The sequence below is a fragment of the Homo sapiens genome, chromosome 11 (assembly GCF_000001405.40).
Source record: "Homo sapiens chromosome 11, GRCh38.p14 Primary Assembly".
In the NCBI taxonomy this organism is placed as follows: Eukaryota; Metazoa; Chordata; class Mammalia; order Primates; family Hominidae; genus Homo; species Homo sapiens.
In genome coordinates this window covers 97,389,184-97,408,889 of record NC_000011.10, presented here as the reverse complement: position 1 = coordinate 97,408,889, position 19,706 = coordinate 97,389,184, and the positions used below count along the sequence as shown (strand labels likewise).

The following is a 19,706-nucleotide window of genomic DNA, read 5'->3' as shown; positions in this document are numbered from 1 at the left end:
CAGTCTGCTGATATTAGATTTTACTGGGAGAGGCCTAGTATTGGGGCCCAAGCAAAGTCTAGTGCTCCACTTTGCTCTCCACTCCCAAGTGGTGGTTATGTCCCTCCTTGCTGTGCTGCCTGGGGCTGGGGGAGGGGTAACACAGGTGATAGCGTTTGGCTGTGTCCCCACCCAAACCTCATCTTGAATTGTAGGTCTCATAATTCCCACATGTTGTGGGAGGGACCCAGTGGAAGATAATTGAATCATTGGCGTGGTTTCATCAATACTATTCTCATGGTAGTAAATAAGTCTCATGAGAACTGGTGGTCTTATAAGGAGAAATCCCTTTTGCTTGGCTCTCTCATTCTCTCTTGCCACTGCCCTGTAAGAAGTGCCTTTCACCTTTGCAATGATAGTGAGGCCTCCCCAGCCACATGGAACTATGAGTCCATTAAACCTATTTTTTTAAATTAATTACCCATTTTGGGGTATGTCTTTATGAGCAGCATGAAAACAGACTAATATAAGGGATAATGTAAATCTATTATTTCTACCCATTTCAATGAATCTTGTTCAGACTTCACCCTTTTCTTGTTCCATCGTCGTCTCCTTCCTGCAACCCAGGGTTTATTTCCTATGAAGTAGCAAGAGTGATTCAAACCCTGAAATGACTTCCCATCTCACTCAAAGTGAAAGCCAAGTTCTGTATTACAACCTATAAGGTCCTAAATTATGACAATCAGTTTACTCATTGGTTTCATTTTCTTCTCTCTCCAATTCTGCAACAGTGCCACAGAGGCATTGGTCAATGTTATGGGGAATTTCAAACCTAAGATGACTCTTTAGTGTTCTTGCAAGTTGAAACAAAGGGGCTGGAATGTTACACCTACCTAAAATTTAAATGAGACTGTGTTGCTAGTGGAATGGTTCCCTTCTGAAGAGCAGGTTATCTATATATGCAGAGGCTATAGTTTCAGGAAGAGGGGTACAAATTCCCCATGTGCTTCAATTGAAGGATGATAAATGGGACACTCATATTTCACAATTCTACTTCTGATCCCATGTATGTTATTTATGGCAAAAAATTACATAATGGTTATTGACTTCAGGGTATAATAAATCCTTGAGAATGATACTTTCATTGTAGAGCTGCTGCTATAGCTGCATATTCAAAATTCCATTTCATTATTAGGAGACCAGAAGACTCTAAGGGTGTCATATAGGATAGGAGTAGTGGATTATATCATAGTTTGACCAATGATGCACTTTCTTTTCTATAAAGTGATTGAACTGCACGAAGAGATGCCATTGTCTTCAGCCTGTTTCAAAAAATGATTTTTTTTCCCCAGATGCTAGGAGTATTGTCCATAGGCAATGTTAAAATGTCAGTCCCTTTTAGAGATAGCCTTCATTACAAAAAGCTTCATATTCAAGGTTGAACACTCGCCAGGACAGTATACACCTACAGTACACAGTACTGGTTGAGGCAGAAGAATAAAGAATTGTGTGTTGGGCTGAACAATACCCCACACATGTATCAGGTTATAATACCTGAAACTAGTAAATGCTACATAATTTGGAAAAAGCTAAAGATGTTTTATGAAAAATATAGTTCTAATAAGCCACAGAAGACTACTTATGAAGATGATTTTAGTTTGGTACACTATTTTATTTTTCTCTCTGGCTTGTCTTATGATTATAGTTGCAATTGTGCTGCTCACATTGCAGAAGGAAGGTCATAAGAGGGAGGATATTTTTCAGACAGGGGTCATGCTATATCAGTTAGATGCGGTTTACAGATTAAAAGTTTTATTTGTGAACACTCAAGCTCTAGTCTAACTAGTTCTGTCATTTTAAGCAGAAGGCTAATTTACTAGTCTTCATAAGACAATAACTTGTGTGGGTTGAAAGCAAATTATTTTTGCTCATTTTCCACAATTAGGTTTGTTTGTTTTTTGTGTTTTTTTAATCTTAGAAGAAATGTAAGGGCACGTTATTAAAAATTTTATTCTACCACACAACAGATGTAACAGTGGATGACACCACCCGCAGAGGACAACACAATAATAATTAAAACAGAAAGTAATACATATCTAATGGCTTTGTATTTGAAAGGATGAAAACATTTTCATGAACATCCAAATTTTTCTCTTTTGAGAAAATACTTAAAAATATTTATAGGTCCAGAGACTCATACATTTACATCTTCTAATGAGAGACAAAATATCTCCATTTTGAGGAAAAGAAACATCATTCAGCAGTCTTGTTTTAAAATGAATGGTTGTTCACTCTCCTGTCACCCTGATCCATGTATTCAATGACTGTTAGAAACGAACTTTATTAGGAAAGTGACAAGAACATTTTTAATGGCTACATACATTCACTTTGCTAGGAGTTCTCAGCGCCTACATCTATAGATACCTACTCTGATAACTATAACAGGGACCAGATATCTGCGTAAAGCTTAGACTTACACTAATTTAACCCTTCATCTTGTAGAGAGTAAAGAGTAGTAAGTTGCTAAGAAAACTGCTTTTGAATCAGGACTGGAGGGTTAGTATCAAAATTGTGGCCCTTAAGAACTGAGTGTTTGTTGTTTTTTTTAACATCTCTCTGTCAAGCTGCCAGGTGTCCAGGTAGTCAAACAGTATAATGAATCAAACTGAACATAATCATCAAGCCTGTTCTTACCGTGGCCATGTAAGGGAGGGACAAAATATGATGTCACTTCCCTCGTGTTCCATTTCTCTGAAAGAGACACTGCTTCCTTGGTTTGAGGGTAGGGAAAGGTGGAGAGTCTGAGTAAAGAGAAGTACTGAGTAAGAATGGAGAAAAGTGTTTAGATAAGGCGGTCTTCACAGGGGCACCTGAAAAGTGCCTGAGCTGAAGCATCCCTTCCCCGATAAGGAATCTCTAAATTGAAGTGCCTGAGCTGGTAATGCAAACATGCCTATGACTATGGATGGCTAAGAGGGACTGAGTCCTGAGTATAACTCTTTTGAGAAAACTGTAAGGCACCACCACGTGTGCTGTGGGAAGGGTAGCTTTCCCTCATGAGGCTTGGAAGGCAAAGCCTTTGCAACTGCCTATAGTCAATCAAATATTTTACATAAGATTTTGCCTGGAGCTGGACCCCTCACTCACAGTCATAATAGGTATTATATATATTCTCAAAAGTTCCACAGCTGAACATTATTAACTTTTATTTCTCTTTCATGTTGATCAGGCAGCAATTTTTTAAATGATAGCATAAGAATCCAGGATTTTTTCACATAATAGCATTGCCAGGACAATAATGTGACTTTTGAGATCACTGTGGAAGGAGAAGAGGAAAAATACAAAATATCACCATCCTCAAGAACTAAGGGTCTGACTTAAAAATGGCATCTGTCATTCCTGGGGGAGCCTTGTTGACAGAACCCAGTCATATGCCTACAAAGACATTTCGGGTAATACAGTTTGTTTTTTTTTCCTGTATTAGAAATAAAAAAAAAACAGATAAAAAATAGTATTGTCTCTACAATATACTCTGAGACTGTTTTCTCATCTTTAAAGATCTATGGTAATGCTTCATCATATTTTGCAAGGATTTAGTAAGAAATTGCTATAAAATTATTGGCATAAATCAGGTATATAATAAGCTGTCAATAAATACTAGGGACAATTATTATTCCCTAAGGACATTTTAGATGTCCTTAGCAAATACCTATTCTTTGACAAACAAGAGGAAAAAGCAGCTCTGATTATTAAAAATGTCATCAGTTGCTCTGCAACTCCACTGAGTGGGGGGAACAGTGAGAAAAAAATGAGAGAGAACAAAACAGAGTAATAAAAGTACAAGCACAACTATTTCAAAAAGAAATTAATATACATCCAATGAATGGAAAATTAGACATAGGTGCACAAGAAAAAAGTGAGAAAAAGAACATGAAAGTATAACAGATGGAAATTTCAAAAAAAATTAAATTGAAAAAATAAACCACCTCATGTTTAGTAACAGGCTTCATGAGAGCCCCTGCTTACAAAAACAAACAAATGAAAATGAAAGATTAGCATGAGTATTATTAAGAGTTGGTTTTGGGAGACAACCCACAGAATGGAAAAAAAATTGCAAACTATGCATTTGACAAAGGTCTAATATCCACAGTCTATAAGGAACTTAACAAGCAAAAATCAATCCCACTAAAAAGTGGACAAGGACATGAACAAACACTTCGCTAAAGAAGATATACATGCAGCCAACAAGTATATGAAAAAGAAATGTTCAACATCAGTAATCATTAGAGAAACACAAATTGAAAACAGTGAAATACCAACTCACATAAGTCAGAATAGCTATTTTATTTTAAAGTCAAAAAATAACAGATGCTGGTGAGGTTGCAGAGAAAGGAAAATGCTTGTACACTTCTGGTGGGAATGTAAATTAGTTAATCACTGCGAAAAGTAGTTTGGAGATTTCTCAAATAACTTAGAACTACCATTCCACCCAGCAATATCATTATTGGATATATACCCAAAGGAATATAAATCATTCTACCATAATGATACGTGGACTTGTATGTTCATCACAGCACTATTCACAATAACAAAGACATGGAATCAACCTAAATGCCCATCAATGGTAGAATGAATAAAGAAAATGTGCTGCATATACACCATGGAATATTATACATCCATAAAAAAGCATGAGATCATGTCCTTGGCAGCAACATGGAGCTGGAGGTTATTACCCTAAGCAAATTAATGCAAGAACACAACACCAAATACCTCATGTTCTCACATGTAAGTGTGGGTTAACAATTGAGTACATATAGACACACAGAAGGGAACAATAGATACTGGGCCTGGAGCAGGGTGGGAAGAGGGTGAGGATTGAAAAGCTACCAATCAGGTACTATGCTTATTACCTGGGTGATAAAATAATCCATACGCAAAATCCCCTCGACATGCAAATTACCTATATAACAAACTTGCATATGTACCCCTGGAACTAAAAGAAAACAACAAAAATAGAGTTAGGTTTGAGTCCAAATATTAACAATCCAGCTGGAGAGGCAAAGTATCACGTTCCTGTCTGTTTTTAGGATAAAGACATTTTTCAGCCTGATGGATGAGAGGTTTCATCTATGAATAGCATGTGGATCACAGAAAGGTTCTGACAAAAATGCCCAAATGCAAATGGTGATGTCTGGGTAAATTAAGATGAAGATGAAGGCCAGGCATGGTGGTTCATGCCTGTAATCCCAGCATTTTGTGAGGCCAAGGTGGGAGGATCACTTGAGGCCAGGAGTTCAAGACCAGCCTGGGAAACACAGCGAAACCCCATCTCTACTAAAAATACAAAAATTAGCCAGGTGTGGTAACATGTGCTTGTAGTCTCAGCTACTCAGGAGGCTGAGGCAGGAGAATTGTTTGTACCCGGGAGGCAGAGGTTGCAGTTAGTCAAAATTCCACCACTGCACTGCAGCCTGGGCAACAGAGCAAGATTCTATCTCAAAATAAATAAATAAATAAAAACAAAAAAAAATGAAGATTAAAATTAGTAGAAAGATAAAAATAGATGAGACATTGAAAATATAGAAAACTCCCTGTTTTAAAAAATGTATTTTTGAAGTTTTGTATCATTATAATTAATAAATATTTTTCCATATTCATTAGCCATGGTAGACCCACATTATTTGGCAATCATTATAGAACACAGTTTCATAATATCAATTAACTATATTCACCTACAAGATAAATTATTAACTATTGCTTTATTAAATCAAATATCAACATATGAAGTATTTTACTATATTTTAAAATGCTGTAAGGACTGGTGCGGTGGCTCATGCCTGTAATCTCAATGCTTTGAGAGGTTGGGGTGGGTACATCACTGAGCCTAGGAGTTTGAGACCAGCCTGGGCAACATGGCAAAACCCCATCTCTACAAAAAATAGACATGGTTGTGTGCATCTATGGTCCCTGCTACTCCAGAGGCTGAGGTGTGAGGATTGCTTGAGTCCCAAAGGTTGAGGCTGCAGTGAGCATGCTACTGCGCTCCAGCCTGGGCACAGAGCAAGACCGTGTCTCAAAAACGGAAAAAAAAAAAAAAGGCTATCAATTGTACATATTTTTAAAGTAAAGATTGATGAAAGTAATGATTATGGTGTTGATATTGACAATAACGACAATGAACAGTTTAAAATACACCCATCTTTACTTCAGTAATTATCTGATGATTTCCATTCTGTTTAAATAATAATGAAAACAGGTGATGGTGATCATACTGAATAGCAAAGACATGTTTGCTGGAGCAGATTTTTTTCTGTGTGTCTTCCCAGTCTTTCCAATTTCCAGGAACTCTGTCTGAAGGCACAGACATCCATTCCAAACTTCTAACTTACCTCTAAAACATGAAGTTCTCATCTTAACATTTGATCTCTTCCTTTTCCTTGAGAATTTTTGGATATATTATCTCTTTATGTCTGAGATAAAAATGAAAGTAACATATTTCATTACGGGTCAATTAAATAAGGACAGGTGTTTGAACTAATATCGTTTACAGGGGACTATTGCCTGGATCACCTGTACACTGCCCCCGCACTGGTGTATAAAGCAGTCTTTGTGCATATCCTCTCTTCTCTTGTTGCTGCACGTCAAATAGTCTCTAAGAATTGTCCTCCCCAAAACAGTGCTGTAGTGAGTTTTTGGACCAATATGTAATTTTAATTTGAGTTATATTTTCACCATATATTCTCACAGGAAACATGATGACCACTGATAATAAAAGAAAACGCATGAATAAGGCATATGAACATGAAGATAATTCACCAAGATCAGTTTTGCCAGCTCTGATAATTACATTTACATAATCAAAAATTTTATGTAGAACATGAAGATGTCTCTAGCACTTTAAAATCCAATATTAAGTAGAAAATATAGTAATTATATTTTCATCCACAGTTTGTAAGAAATACAAATAGCAAATGGAAACTTTTTCTCTTATTAACTGAAAGTAAAGCATGAAAATTATAAAAACTAACCAGGCCAGGCATGGTGGCTCACAACTGTAATCCCAGCACTTTGGGAGACCGAGGTGGATGGATCACTTGAGCTTAAGAGTTTGAGACCGGCCTGGGCATCATGGCATAATCCTGTCTCTACAAAAAAATGCCAAAATTAGCTGGGCATGGTGACATGCCCTATGGTCCCAGCTACTCGGGAAGCTGAGGTGGGAGGATCACTTGAGCCCAGGAGGCAGAGGTTGCAGTGAGGTGAGATTACACCACTGCACTCCAGCCTGGGCAACAGAGCCAGACCCTGTCTCAAAACAAAACAAAACAAAAAAAACATTTTTATGAGTACAATATATCATGTTATAAAAACCATGCTTAAATCTGTTTTTGGTATAGCACCATATAAAGTTCAATCTTTAGTGTTTGATCACCAAACTGAACATGATATATTCTTTCTGATTCCAACTTTATCATCTTTGCAGATGTAGTATTTAAAATGATATAATACGTTAAAAGTAACATACAAATGTATACATATGCTTTAAAATTATTATAGGTCAGAAGTTTTCATGTGGGGTTGAAGTGCTTTAAATTTGAAATTACTAACCACTAAGAATTTTTATATTTGCCAACATTTATTCATTCTGTTGTTTTCATTCCTGCCAGTATATTGGAGTTTCCATTTGGTATAAAATACCTTTTATTATGTTCTGTAGCATACACCTTCTGACAACAAAAGCTCTCAGATTTATACTTCTGAAAATATATATCCTTTAGCCTGATTTTTGAAGGATACATTCACTGGAAATAGAAATCAGGATTTTTTTTAACACTATAAAGATATCATTTATTTTGTGCTGTCATTGTTTTTGATGATAAATCAGTATAATTCATATCCCCTATGTCTCCTGTTCATAATATGTCTTTTAACTCCGGGTCTTTCTGAAATTTTTCTTTAACTTTACTATTTAGAAATTGTATTATGACATGCCTAGGTTTAACTCTCATTGTATTTATTCAGATAAGGGTTGACTGCAATTCTTTCACCTGTAATTTGAAATTTTAATCAAAAGTTAAAAGTCTTTGGCCCATTCTCCCTCCGTCCCTACCTCCATTTTCCTTCCTCCATTTTCCTTCCTTCTCTTCCTCTGCCTCCTCCTCCTCCTCCTCCTTTCTTTTTTTGTCTCATTCTGGGATTCTTATTGTTAAATAAAGATCATTAGGTCTTCCAGAAGGAAAAAAAATAGAGCTTTATTTTCTGAAAACAACAACAAAAATCAATTTGTGGATTAGGCGGATACAACCCCTGGTGTAAACAAAAGTGTGTTCTGGAGAACAAATAGGGGGTCTGGCTTAAATAGGGAAAGTTCCCACATCAGTCCTCAGGGACGTCTGTATATGCAAATAAATAATTCAAACTCATTCAATCCATTTAGCTTAAAACAGCTAAGTCCCAATTGGGTAGTTTCCAAATCTCAAACCATAAGTCTCTATTGGATGTCCCTTTGAAGCAGATGGTGGAAGGAATTTTCTAGCCAGAGAGTCTGAGCTCCACTTTAGTTACAGAAACCATCTTAGCTCAGAGGTGCAAAAGGGATATTTGTCTGGAGCATCCTGCTCCAAGAACAAAGTGGGCAGGACCAACTTTCTTTCATTCACCATGACCGCTGGGTTAGTTTCACTTCATAGCATAATTAAGTATATCAGACACTTTTTAAAATGTCCCAAAGATCTCTGAGGCTCTATTTATTTTTCCTATTTTTTTTTATTTTTTTCAGATTGGATATTTTGTTTTAAACTGTCTTCAAATTTCCTGACTTTTACCATTTCCCATCTGCTGTTAAACCCCTTAAATTGTTATTTTAATTTTCTGTTCTGCAATTCCATTTTGAATTTCATTTGTTTCATTGTTATGCTGAAATCCCTGACCTATATGATAAAATTATATTACATTTAATTTGATATTTATTAATTTTTTAAATATATAAATAATAGTTGCTTTAAAGCTTTTTCTGCTAAATGCAATGTTGTTTCTTACATGATTTGATAATTTGATTAAATATTAGAAACTATAAATATTACACACATTCTGGATTGTATTATTGTCCTTGATTAGCACTGTGACTTGTTTGTTCTAGTGAAGTATTCGCCTTGCCTAGAGATTTTGCCTTGTCCTTCCAGATAAGAGTGTATCAGCTTGAGAGTGCAAGAGGGGAGATGGAGCAAGATGGAAGAATAGAAGAAGACTCTACTGCTTGTCCCCCTGACAAGGACACCAATGGCACAAAAAAGCACCTTTGTGAGAAACAAAAATCAGGTGAGCACTTGTAGTACCTGGTTTTAACTTTGTATTGCAGAAAGAGGCAGAAAAAACAGTGTTGAATTGCTGGTGCCATGCCTCCCCTATCCCCAAGCAGAGGTATTCTGGTACTGACAGCATTTCTGTGCACGGGGGAAAGGAGAGCAGAGTAATTGTGAGGCATTGAACTCACTGCTGTCCTGTTATAGCAGAAAAGGAAAACCGGATCAATCCTGGCTGACACCCACCTACGGAAGGAGCATTTGAACCAAAAGGAGAATCGCCAATCCCAGGGGTTGGAACGTGAGTTCCTGCAAGCCTCGCCATCATGGTCCAAAGAGCTCCTGGGGCTCTAAATAAACTTGAAAAGCAATCTAGGCCACAAGGACTGCAACTCCTAGAAGAGTCCTAGTGCTGAACTTGACCCAGAGACAGGGGACTAGCGGGGAACATGACCTACTGAGACACCAGCCCACACAACTAAGAGAGTGCTGGCATTACCCCTCTCCTAATCACAGGCTGCACAGCTCACAGCTCCAAAAGAGACTCCTTCCTTCTGCTTGAAGAGAAAAGAGGAAAGAGTGGGGAGAATTTGTCCTGCATCTTGGATACGAGCTGAGCCACAGTGGCATAGGGTATGGGTCAGCGTCATAAGGCCTCCTTTCCAGGCCTTAGCTCCTGGATGACATATTTAGATGCATCCTGCGCCCAGAGGGAACTCACTATCCTGAAGGGAAGGACCCCTTCCTGGCAGCATTCATCAGCTGCTAATTGAAGAAACTTTGAGCCATGAATAACCAGCAGCCATCGTCAGGTACTATGTCAAGGGCAGTGGGTGAAACCCTGAGACTTGTAGGCTTCAGGTGAGACTCAGCACATCTCCAGCTGTAGTGTCAAGACCGCTGCTTCTTGAGAAAAGCAGAGAGAAAAGTAAAGGGGACTTTGTCTTGCACTGTAGGTACCAGCTTGGCCACTGGGGGTAGAACACCAAGCAAACTCTTGGAGCCCCCGATTACAGCACTTAGCTCTTGGAGGCATTTCTGGACCTGCTCTGTGCCTGAGAGGAGCCCGTTTCCCTGATGGGTGAGTCACAGGCCAAGCAGCATTCGCCACAAGCTGACTTAAAAGACCTTAGTTCTTAATAGAACATTGGCAATAGTTTGGCAGTATTCCCAGTGGGCCTGTGGTGGTGGCAGCCTTGAGGTAAGGCTGCCTTTGAAAAGGAGGAGGGAAGAGTCACAAGGATTGAGTATTGTGGTTTGAATGCCAGCTCAGCCACAGGACAATAGAACACCAGGTAGAATTCTAACGTTTTTAACTCTAGGTTCTGGCTTCCAGATGGCACCTGTAGACCCACCCAAGTCCTGGGGAAATTGCCACATGCAGGGAAAGACACAGGCCTGGCTGGCATGGCCAGCTGATGATTATAGAGCCCCTGGGCCTTCAGTGAACATAGACAGCAGCTAGGAGTGGTAATGCAGGCTCTGGGTGAGACCCAGTACTGTGCTGGCTTCAGGTTGGCCACAGCACGGTCATAGTGGTGGTGGTCACAGGGGTGTTTGTTTTACTCTACCCCCAGCTTCAGGTGACTCAGAAAGAGAAATTCTGTTTGTTTGGGAGAAAGTAAGAGAAGAGAACAAGAGCCTCTGTCTGTTAATGCAGAGAATTCTGGATCTTGTCCAAGACTATAAAGGTGGTACCTCTACGAATGTGCAAGAACCTCAGTGTTACTGGGATTGGGGTGCTTCTGAATGGAGATAACAACTTACATCACAACACCCAAGTCCTTTTAAATGTCAGGAAATCTTTCCCAAGAAGGATGAGTACAAACAAGGCCAGACTGCAAAGATTATAATAAATGCCCAAGTTTTCAGTGGCCAAACCTAGACAAACTTACAAGTATCAAGACAATCCAGGAAAATATGTTCTTACCAAATGAACTAAATAAGGCACCAGGGACCAATCTTGGAGAAACAGCAACATGTGACCTTTCTGACGGAGAATTCAAAATAGGTATTTTGAGGAAAATCAAAGGAATTCAAGATAACACAGAAGAAATGCAGAATTCTATTCGATGAATTTAACACCATTCCTCTCCTGCAAGAAGTGATAAAGGCAGTATTTCAATCAGAAAGAAAAGGAGTTTAGTGAGCCATAAGTAATCACCTAAAGATACCAAATTCACTAGTAATAGTAAAGAAACAGAAAAACACTGAATATTATTACACTCTAACCGTGGTGTGTAAACTACTCTTATCCTACCTAGGTAGAAAAACTAGATGGAGAACCAGTCAAAAATAACTACAACTTTTCAAGACATAGTACAATAAAATAGAAACAAAAACAACAAAATGTTACAAAGCAGGAGGATGAAGTTAAGGCATAGAGAACTAATGAAGATTAGTTTTCTTTTTGTTTATTTGAACAACGTTAACTTGTTATCAGTTTAAAATAATGGTTTATAAGACAGTATTTGCAAGCCTCCTGCTAACCTCAAACCAAAAAAACCATACAACAGATTCACAAAAAATAAAAAGCAAGAAACTAAATCATATCACCTGAGAAAATCACCTTACTAAAGGAAAACAGGAAGGAAAAAGGAAAGAAGAGAAGAATACAAATCAACCAGAAAACAAATAACAAAATGGGAGGAGTAAATCTTTATTTATCAATAATAACATTGAATGTAAATCGACTAAACTTTCCAATCAAAAAACATAGAGTGGCTGAATGAATGGAAAGAAAACTAATTTATCTGTGTCCTACAAGAAACACACTTCAGCTATGAAGATACATGTAGACTGAAAATAGAGGGATGGAAAAACATATTGTATGCCAATGGAAACCAAAAAGGAGCAGGAGTCACCATACTTGTATTAGAAAAAATAGGTTTCAAGTCAAAAACTATAAGAAAAAACAAAGAAGGTCACTATATAATGATAAAGGGGTCAATTTCATAGGAGAATATAACAATTTTACATATATATGCACCCATCACTGGAGCATCCAGATGTATAAAGCAAATATTATTAGAGCTAAAGAGAGAGATAGGCCTCAATACAATAATAGATGGAGACTTCACCCCACTATCACCACTGGGGTGACAATCCAGAAAATCCACAATAAAACATCAAGCTTAATCTGCACTATACATCAAATGGATCTAATATTTACAAAACATTTCATCCAAAAGCTGAGAATACACATTCTTTTCCTCAGCACGTAGATCATTCTCAAGGATAGACCACATGTTAGGTCACAAAACAAGTCTTAAAATATTCAAAATAAATTGAAATAATATCAAGCATCTCCTGCTACAGTGGAATAAAACTAGAAATCAATAATGAGGAATTTGGGGAACTATACAAATACATGCACATTAAACTATATGCTCCTGAGTAAAGAATTAAGAAAATCAAAACATTTTTCAAATAAATGATAGTGAAAACACAACATACCAAAACCTATAGAATCCAGCAAAAGCGGTACTAAGAGGGAATTTTATTGCCATAAGTGCCTACATCAAAAAAAAACTTCAAATAAACAACTTAATGGTACATCTTAAATAACCAGAAAATCAAGAACAACATAAACCCAGTATTAGTAGAAGAAAAGAAATAATAATGATCAGCGCAGAAATAAAATGAAGAAGATACAAAAGATCAACATAACAAAAAGTTGTTTTTTTGAAAAGTGAAACAAAACTAACAAGCCTTTAATTAGTTAGACTAAAAAGAGAGGGAGAGAGGATCCAAATAAATAAAATCAGAGGTGAAAAAGGAGACATTACAACTGATACGTCAGAATTTCAAAGGGTCATTAGTGGCTAATATGAGCAACTATATTACAATAAACCGGAATCCTGGACGAAATGGACAAATTCCTAGACACATACAACCTATTAAGATTGAACCAGGAAGAAATCCAAAACCTGAAGAAACTAATAACAAGTAATGGGACTGAAGCCTTAAAAGTCTCCCAGTAAAGAAAAGCCTGGAACCCTATGGCTTCACTGATGAATTCTACCAAATATTTAAAGAAGAACTAATACCAAACCTAGTCAAAGTATTCTAAAAAATAGAGAAGGAGGAAATACCTCCAAACTCATTCCTAAAGGCCAGTGTTACCCTGATACCAAAACTAAACGCAAATCAAAAAAGGAAACTACATGCCAATATCTATGATGAATATTGACAAAAAAAATCCTCAACAAAATACTAGCAAACTGAATTTCACAATACATTAAAAATAACATCTATCGGCCAGCCACTGTGGCTCACGCCTGTAATCCCAGCACTTTGGGAAGCCAAGGTGGGCGGATCACAAAGTCAGGAGTTTGATACCAGCCTGACCAACATGGTGAAACCCCATCTCTAGTAAAAATACAAAAATTAGCTGGGCGTGGTGGCACAGGCCTGTAACCCCAGCTACTCAGGAGGCTGAGGCAGGAGAATCACTTGAACTCAGGAGCTGGAAGTTGCAGCGAGCCAAGATCACGCCACTGCACTCCAGCCTGGGTGACAGAGTGACACTCTGTCTGAAAAAGAAAAAAATAAAATAAAAAACAAATAACATTCATCATGACCAAGTGGGGTTTATTTCTGGAATGGAAAGTTGCTTTAACATATGCAAATTAATCAATGTAATACATCATATTAAAATAATATAGGACAAAAACCTTATTGTTTCAATTGATGCTGGAAAAGCATTTGATGAAATCCAACTTCTCTTCATGATCAAAAACCCTAAAAAAGCTGGATATGGAACAAACATACTTCAACATAATCAAAACTATATATTACAGACACATAACTAGTATCATAATGAATGGGAAGAAAATGAAAGCCTTTCCTCTAAGATCTGGAACAAGATAAGGATGCTCACTGTCACTACTGTTATTCAGCATAGTACTAGAAGTCATAGCTAGAGCATTCAGACAAGAGAAAAATATATAAAAGGCATCCACATTGGAAAAGAAGAAATCAAATTATCCTCGTTTGCAGATGATATGATCTTATATTTGGAAAAACCTATAGATTTCCCAGGAAAACTGGTAGAATTTAGTAAAGTTGCAAGATACAAAATCAACATTAAAAAATCAGTAGCATTTCTATATGCCAACAGCAAACAGTGTAAAAAATTTTTAAAAAGTTATGCCACATACAATAATGACACATAAAATAACTACCTAGGAATTAACCAAAGAAGAGAAAAATCTCTATGATGGAAACTATAAAACCTTGACAAAAGAAGTTGAAGAGGATACCAAAAAAGGTCAAATATACATGTTCATGCATTAGAAGAATCTATATTCTTCAAATATTCATACTACCTGAGGCCATCTAGAGATTCAGTGCAATCCCTGACAAAATACCAACAACAATCTTCACAGAAATAGAAAAAAAAAACACTATAATTTATATGGAGCCAAAAAAGACCCAGAATAGCCAAAGCTATCCTAAGCAAAAAGAACAAAACTGGAGGAATCACATTACCTCACTTCAAATTATGCTACAGAGCTATAGTAATCCAAATGGCATGGTACTGGCATTAAAAAAAGACACATAGACCAATGGAACAGAATAGAAAATCCAGAAATAAATCCATACACCTACAGTGAACTCATTTTTGACAAAGGTACCAAGAACATACAGTGGGGAAAAGTCAGTCTCTTCAATAAATGGTGCTGGGAAAACTGTATATTCATATGTAAAAAGAAAGAAAGTAGGCCCCTACATCTCACCATATACAAAAATCAAAATAAAATAGATTAAAAGTCTTAAATCTGAGACCTCAAACTGTGAAACTACTACAAGGAAACATTGGGGAAGATCTCCAAGATAATGGTCTGGGCAATAATTTCTTGAGTAATGCCTCACAAGCTCAGGCAACCTAACCAAAATGGACAAATATGATCCCATCAAATTAAAAAGCTTTTGCACAGTGAAGCAAACTATGAAGAAAGCCAAGAGACAACCCACAAAATGGAAGAAAATATTTGGAAACTACCCATCTGACAAGGAATATATAATAACCAAAATATATAAGGATCTCAAAGAACTCTATAGGAAAAAAATCTAGTAATCTGATCAAAAAATGGGCTAAATATTTGAATAGACATTTCTCAAAAGAAAACATACAAATGGCAAACAGATATATGAATAGATGCTCAACATCACTGAAATGCAAATCAAAGCTATAATGAAATATCTCACTCCATTTAAAATGGCTTATATCCAAAAGACAGGCAATAACAAATGCTGGCAAGGCTGTGGAGAAAAGGAAACCACCTTACTCTGTTGATGAGAATGTAAATTGGTACAACCACTATGGAGAACAGTGTGGAGGTTCCTCAAAATACTAAAAGTAGAGCTATCATATAATCCAGCAATCCCACTGCTGGATATGTACCCAAAGAAAAGAAAATCAGTATGTCAAGGAGATGGCTGCATTCTCATGTTTGTTGCAGCTTTGTTCACAATAGCCAAGATTTGGAAGCAACCTAAATGTCCATCATAGATGAATGGATAAGGAAAACTTGTTACTTATGCACAATGGATTACTATTCAGCCATAAAAAAGAACGAGATCCTTTCATTTGCAACAACATGAATAGAGGTGGAGGTCATTTTTTTAAGTGAAATAAACCAGGCATAGAAAGACAAACATCTCATCTTCTCACTTATGTTGGGGATCTAAAAATCAAAACAATTGAACTCGTAGAGATAAGAGAGTTGAACAATGGTTACCAGGTCTGGGAAGTATAGTGGGAGCATTGAGGTGGGCGTGTGGATGGATGGTCAATGGGTACAAAAAAAAATAGAATGAATAAGAGCTAGTATTTGATAGCACAACAGGGTGGCTATAGTCAATAATAATTTAATTGTACATTGTAAAATAACTAAGAATATAATAGAATTGTTTGTAACACAGAGAATGAATACTTAAGGGGATGAATACCCCATTCTCTATGAGCTGAATATTATGCATTGCATGCCTGTGTCAAAACATCTTGTGTACCCTATAAATGTATACAACTACTATGTACCAAATTAAATTAAAGTTTTTAATTTTTTTTTATCAGTTTAACATCTGGAAGGGATGAAGAGAAGTCAGCTTTGTGGCGATCAACAATGTCCACACTACTGGCAACCAATGCTCAGGTGAGTATTTTTAATTGACAATACTCTGTGCATTTTGTCATACATCATTGCTGGGAGAAATATGTAGAGGACATTTTCTTCATCCAGATATTGTAATACTTACTATTGAGATCTCTAGCATCATTAAAATGCTTTGTAGTGGCTGTCTGCTGCAGTTCAGCAATCAGAGTAGAAACTTTGGCAAAATCCTGAATTTAATTTATAAAAATGGTGATCCAGAGTGGCAACAGTTAAATCATAGCTGTTAAACATCAGAGACATGGTACAGATGGTAATTACATTGGATAGTAGATCTGGAGGTATAACCAAATTTATGTGACCTGTGCGTAGTGTTTGGTGAGGCTAAATAAGCCATAGTGTTCCTATTGCTGAAATAAATAGTCATCTAAATACTTACTTGATCTGTGATTGAGCTTAAAAAAATAATTTCTCTACCTCTTAGAAAAGATAATTCATCCACCCCAAAATAGAGCATAGTATCAATCCAATTTCTAGAACTAAAACAGTGAGTAGATTTAAAGCTCCTTAATAAAAAGGATACTTGTATCCCTAAAGGGAGATCTTTAAAAGACTTTAATAAATACTTACCATAAATATTCTCCTAGGTGTTTTGCTTTTTTTTTTTAGACGGAGTCTCGCTCTTTTGCCCAGGCTGGAGTGCGGTGGCGCAATCTCGGCTCACTGCAAGCTCCGCCTCCCAGGTTCACGCCCTTCTCCTGCCTCAGCCTCCTAAGTAGCTGGGACTACAGGCGCCCGCCACCACCCCCGGCTAATTTTTTTTTTTGTATTTTTAGTAGAGACGGGGTTTCACCGTGTGAGCCAGGATGATCTCAATCTCCTGATCTCGTGATCCGCCCGCCTTGGCCTCCCAAAGTGCTGGGATTACAGGCTTGAGCCACCGCGCCCAGCCCCTCCTAGGTTTTTAAACAATGATCTGTAGCTACTAGTTGGATTATTGTACATCAAGAGAAAGAAATGCATTGCAAATTCTCATAGATCAAAATTGTGATCAGTCAGCATGGGGGCTTATAAACATGATGGATAAGTAAAGTTAGTAAAGTTCTTTTCTCTCTCTCTTTTTTTTTTTTTTAGCTCAACTGATTATATTAAAAAACTCACTGAGCTGATACCCTGTGATTATCACTCTAGGACATGGATACATATGGATATATACATTATCAACAACATATTACATTGTTGAAAATGAAAGGACACTAGATAGCAACCCAAAGCTGTATAAAGAAATAATATCTTCAGTAAAGATAACTACATGGGAAAATATAAAATCCAGTGTTTTCTATTTTTTATTTGTAGCTCTACTTTTTAATTTCCTACACAGATTTAAACAAAAATGCATAAAATTATAATTCTAAGTTTATTGAGCAAACAATATAAAAAGAGGTAATTTGTGACAAAAACAATATAAAAGGGAAGATGTGGCTTTACTGGATCAAGTTTTATAGGCTATGGAATCAAATTTGATACCAACCTACATTGTAATAAAAATGTACATATAAGAAAATGAGAAGGGAACCAAAATGGGTCATTACAAAACAATACACTAAATACAAAGGAAAGCAGTAATGGGGAAAATGGCCAAAAAGATATAAAATATAGATAAAACAAATAGCAAAATGGCAGAAGTAATTCTTTCTTCATTAGTAATCACTTGAAATGACAGTGGATTAAACTCTTCAATCAAAAGGCAAAGCTTAGAACAGAGAACATCATCCAGTTGTATACCGTAGGAGACTCACCTTAGATCAAAAGACAAATATTGGTTAAAAGCAAAAGTACAGAAAAAGATAACCCATGCAAATAGTAACCAAGAGAGGTAGAGTGGCTATACTGGTACCACAAACAGAGATTTTAAGTCAAGAAGTGTCATAAGAGACAAAGGACATTTCATATTGATAAAGGGATCAAATCAAGAAGCTGTAACAATTATGGTCATACATACACCAAACATAGCCACAAAATGCATGATGCAAACACTGACAGAATTGAAGAGAGAAAAGTCAGCTCTATGATAACAGAGACTTCAATACTTTCCATAATGGACAGATCATCTGGACAGAAAATTAGTAAGGAGATAGAGGACTTAAACAATACTATAAATCAAGTAAGCCTAACAGACATAAAACACTCTAGTCAACAACAGCAGAATATGCTTTCTCCTCAGTGCACATGGAACATTCCCTAGGAAAGATAATATGCTATAAATATGACCCAGCAATTCAACTCCTAGCCTATGTATATAATCAAAATAATAGAAAGCAGAGATTCAAACATTTACCTGTGTGCTGGTGTTCACTGCAGCATTACTCATAACGGCCCAAAGGTGGAAGCAACTTGTGTCCATCAACAGATGAATGGATAAACAAAATGAGTTATATACACACAATGGAATAATATTCAATCATAAAAATAAATGAAATTCTGATGCACACTATAACATGGATCCATCTTGAAAACATGCTGCATAAAATAAGGCAGACACAAAAGAATAAATATTGTATGATAATACTTTTGTGAAATATCTAGAATAGACCAATTCACACAAAGAGTAGATTAGAGTTTATCAGCAGCTAGGGGAAGAAGAGTGGGGAGTTATTGTTTAATTAGTTAGTACAGAGTTTGTTTGGGGTGTTGAAAAATATTTAATAAGAGATAGTTGTGATGGTTGCAAAATATTGTGAGTATAACTGATGCTATAGACTTGTACACTAAAAATGGTTAAAATGGTAATTTTTAGTGTGTATACATATAAAACCACAATAAAATAAAATAAGAGGTACTTAAAATATTACACTACCTACTACTAAGACATGGGCACATTTTTAGTAAGATTCTAGATTATAGAGGGAACATATAATTCCTATGTATGTGCTGCTTTGATTGATTAAATAGTAGGGTTGCGAGTTTTAAATGATGCCACAAGCCAGATAAAGATCTACAGCTGTTCTAGTTTGTAGGAGCAAGCTGTTTTGCCACTTGGTATTTATGACCCAGCTGATTAAATAGTGTCCTAAATATTTGGGGCATATCAGATGCTCTAGGGACATTTAGGCAAGTCCCTGTCAGATTCACAACGCTTGCTCTTTGCCCAGTGTGAAGCAAAGCCATGCCTTCTTCTAAAAATAAGTATTTTTGTGTGTATAGATAAATGATAGTTTTATTCAACCATCTTCACACTAGGATTGGACTGAAAAAACATGAAAGTAGAATCTGCAGAAGGAAATAAGTTTACTACATAAGAAATGGC

The 19,706-nt window shown here is 36.6% G+C and overlaps 1 long non-coding RNA gene across 1 annotated transcript; it reads left to right on the top strand.

Moving 5' to 3' along the window:
• Positions 1-9,164: 9,164 nt before the first annotated feature.
• LOC105369451 (uncharacterized) lies at positions 9,165-17,598 on the top strand. Its single transcript, XR_947940.3, has 3 exons — positions 9,165-9,297; positions 16,363-16,441; positions 17,534-17,598. It is a non-coding gene; the product is annotated as an uncharacterized LOC105369451 (long non-coding RNA).
• Positions 17,599-19,706: the final 2,108 nt, after the last annotated feature.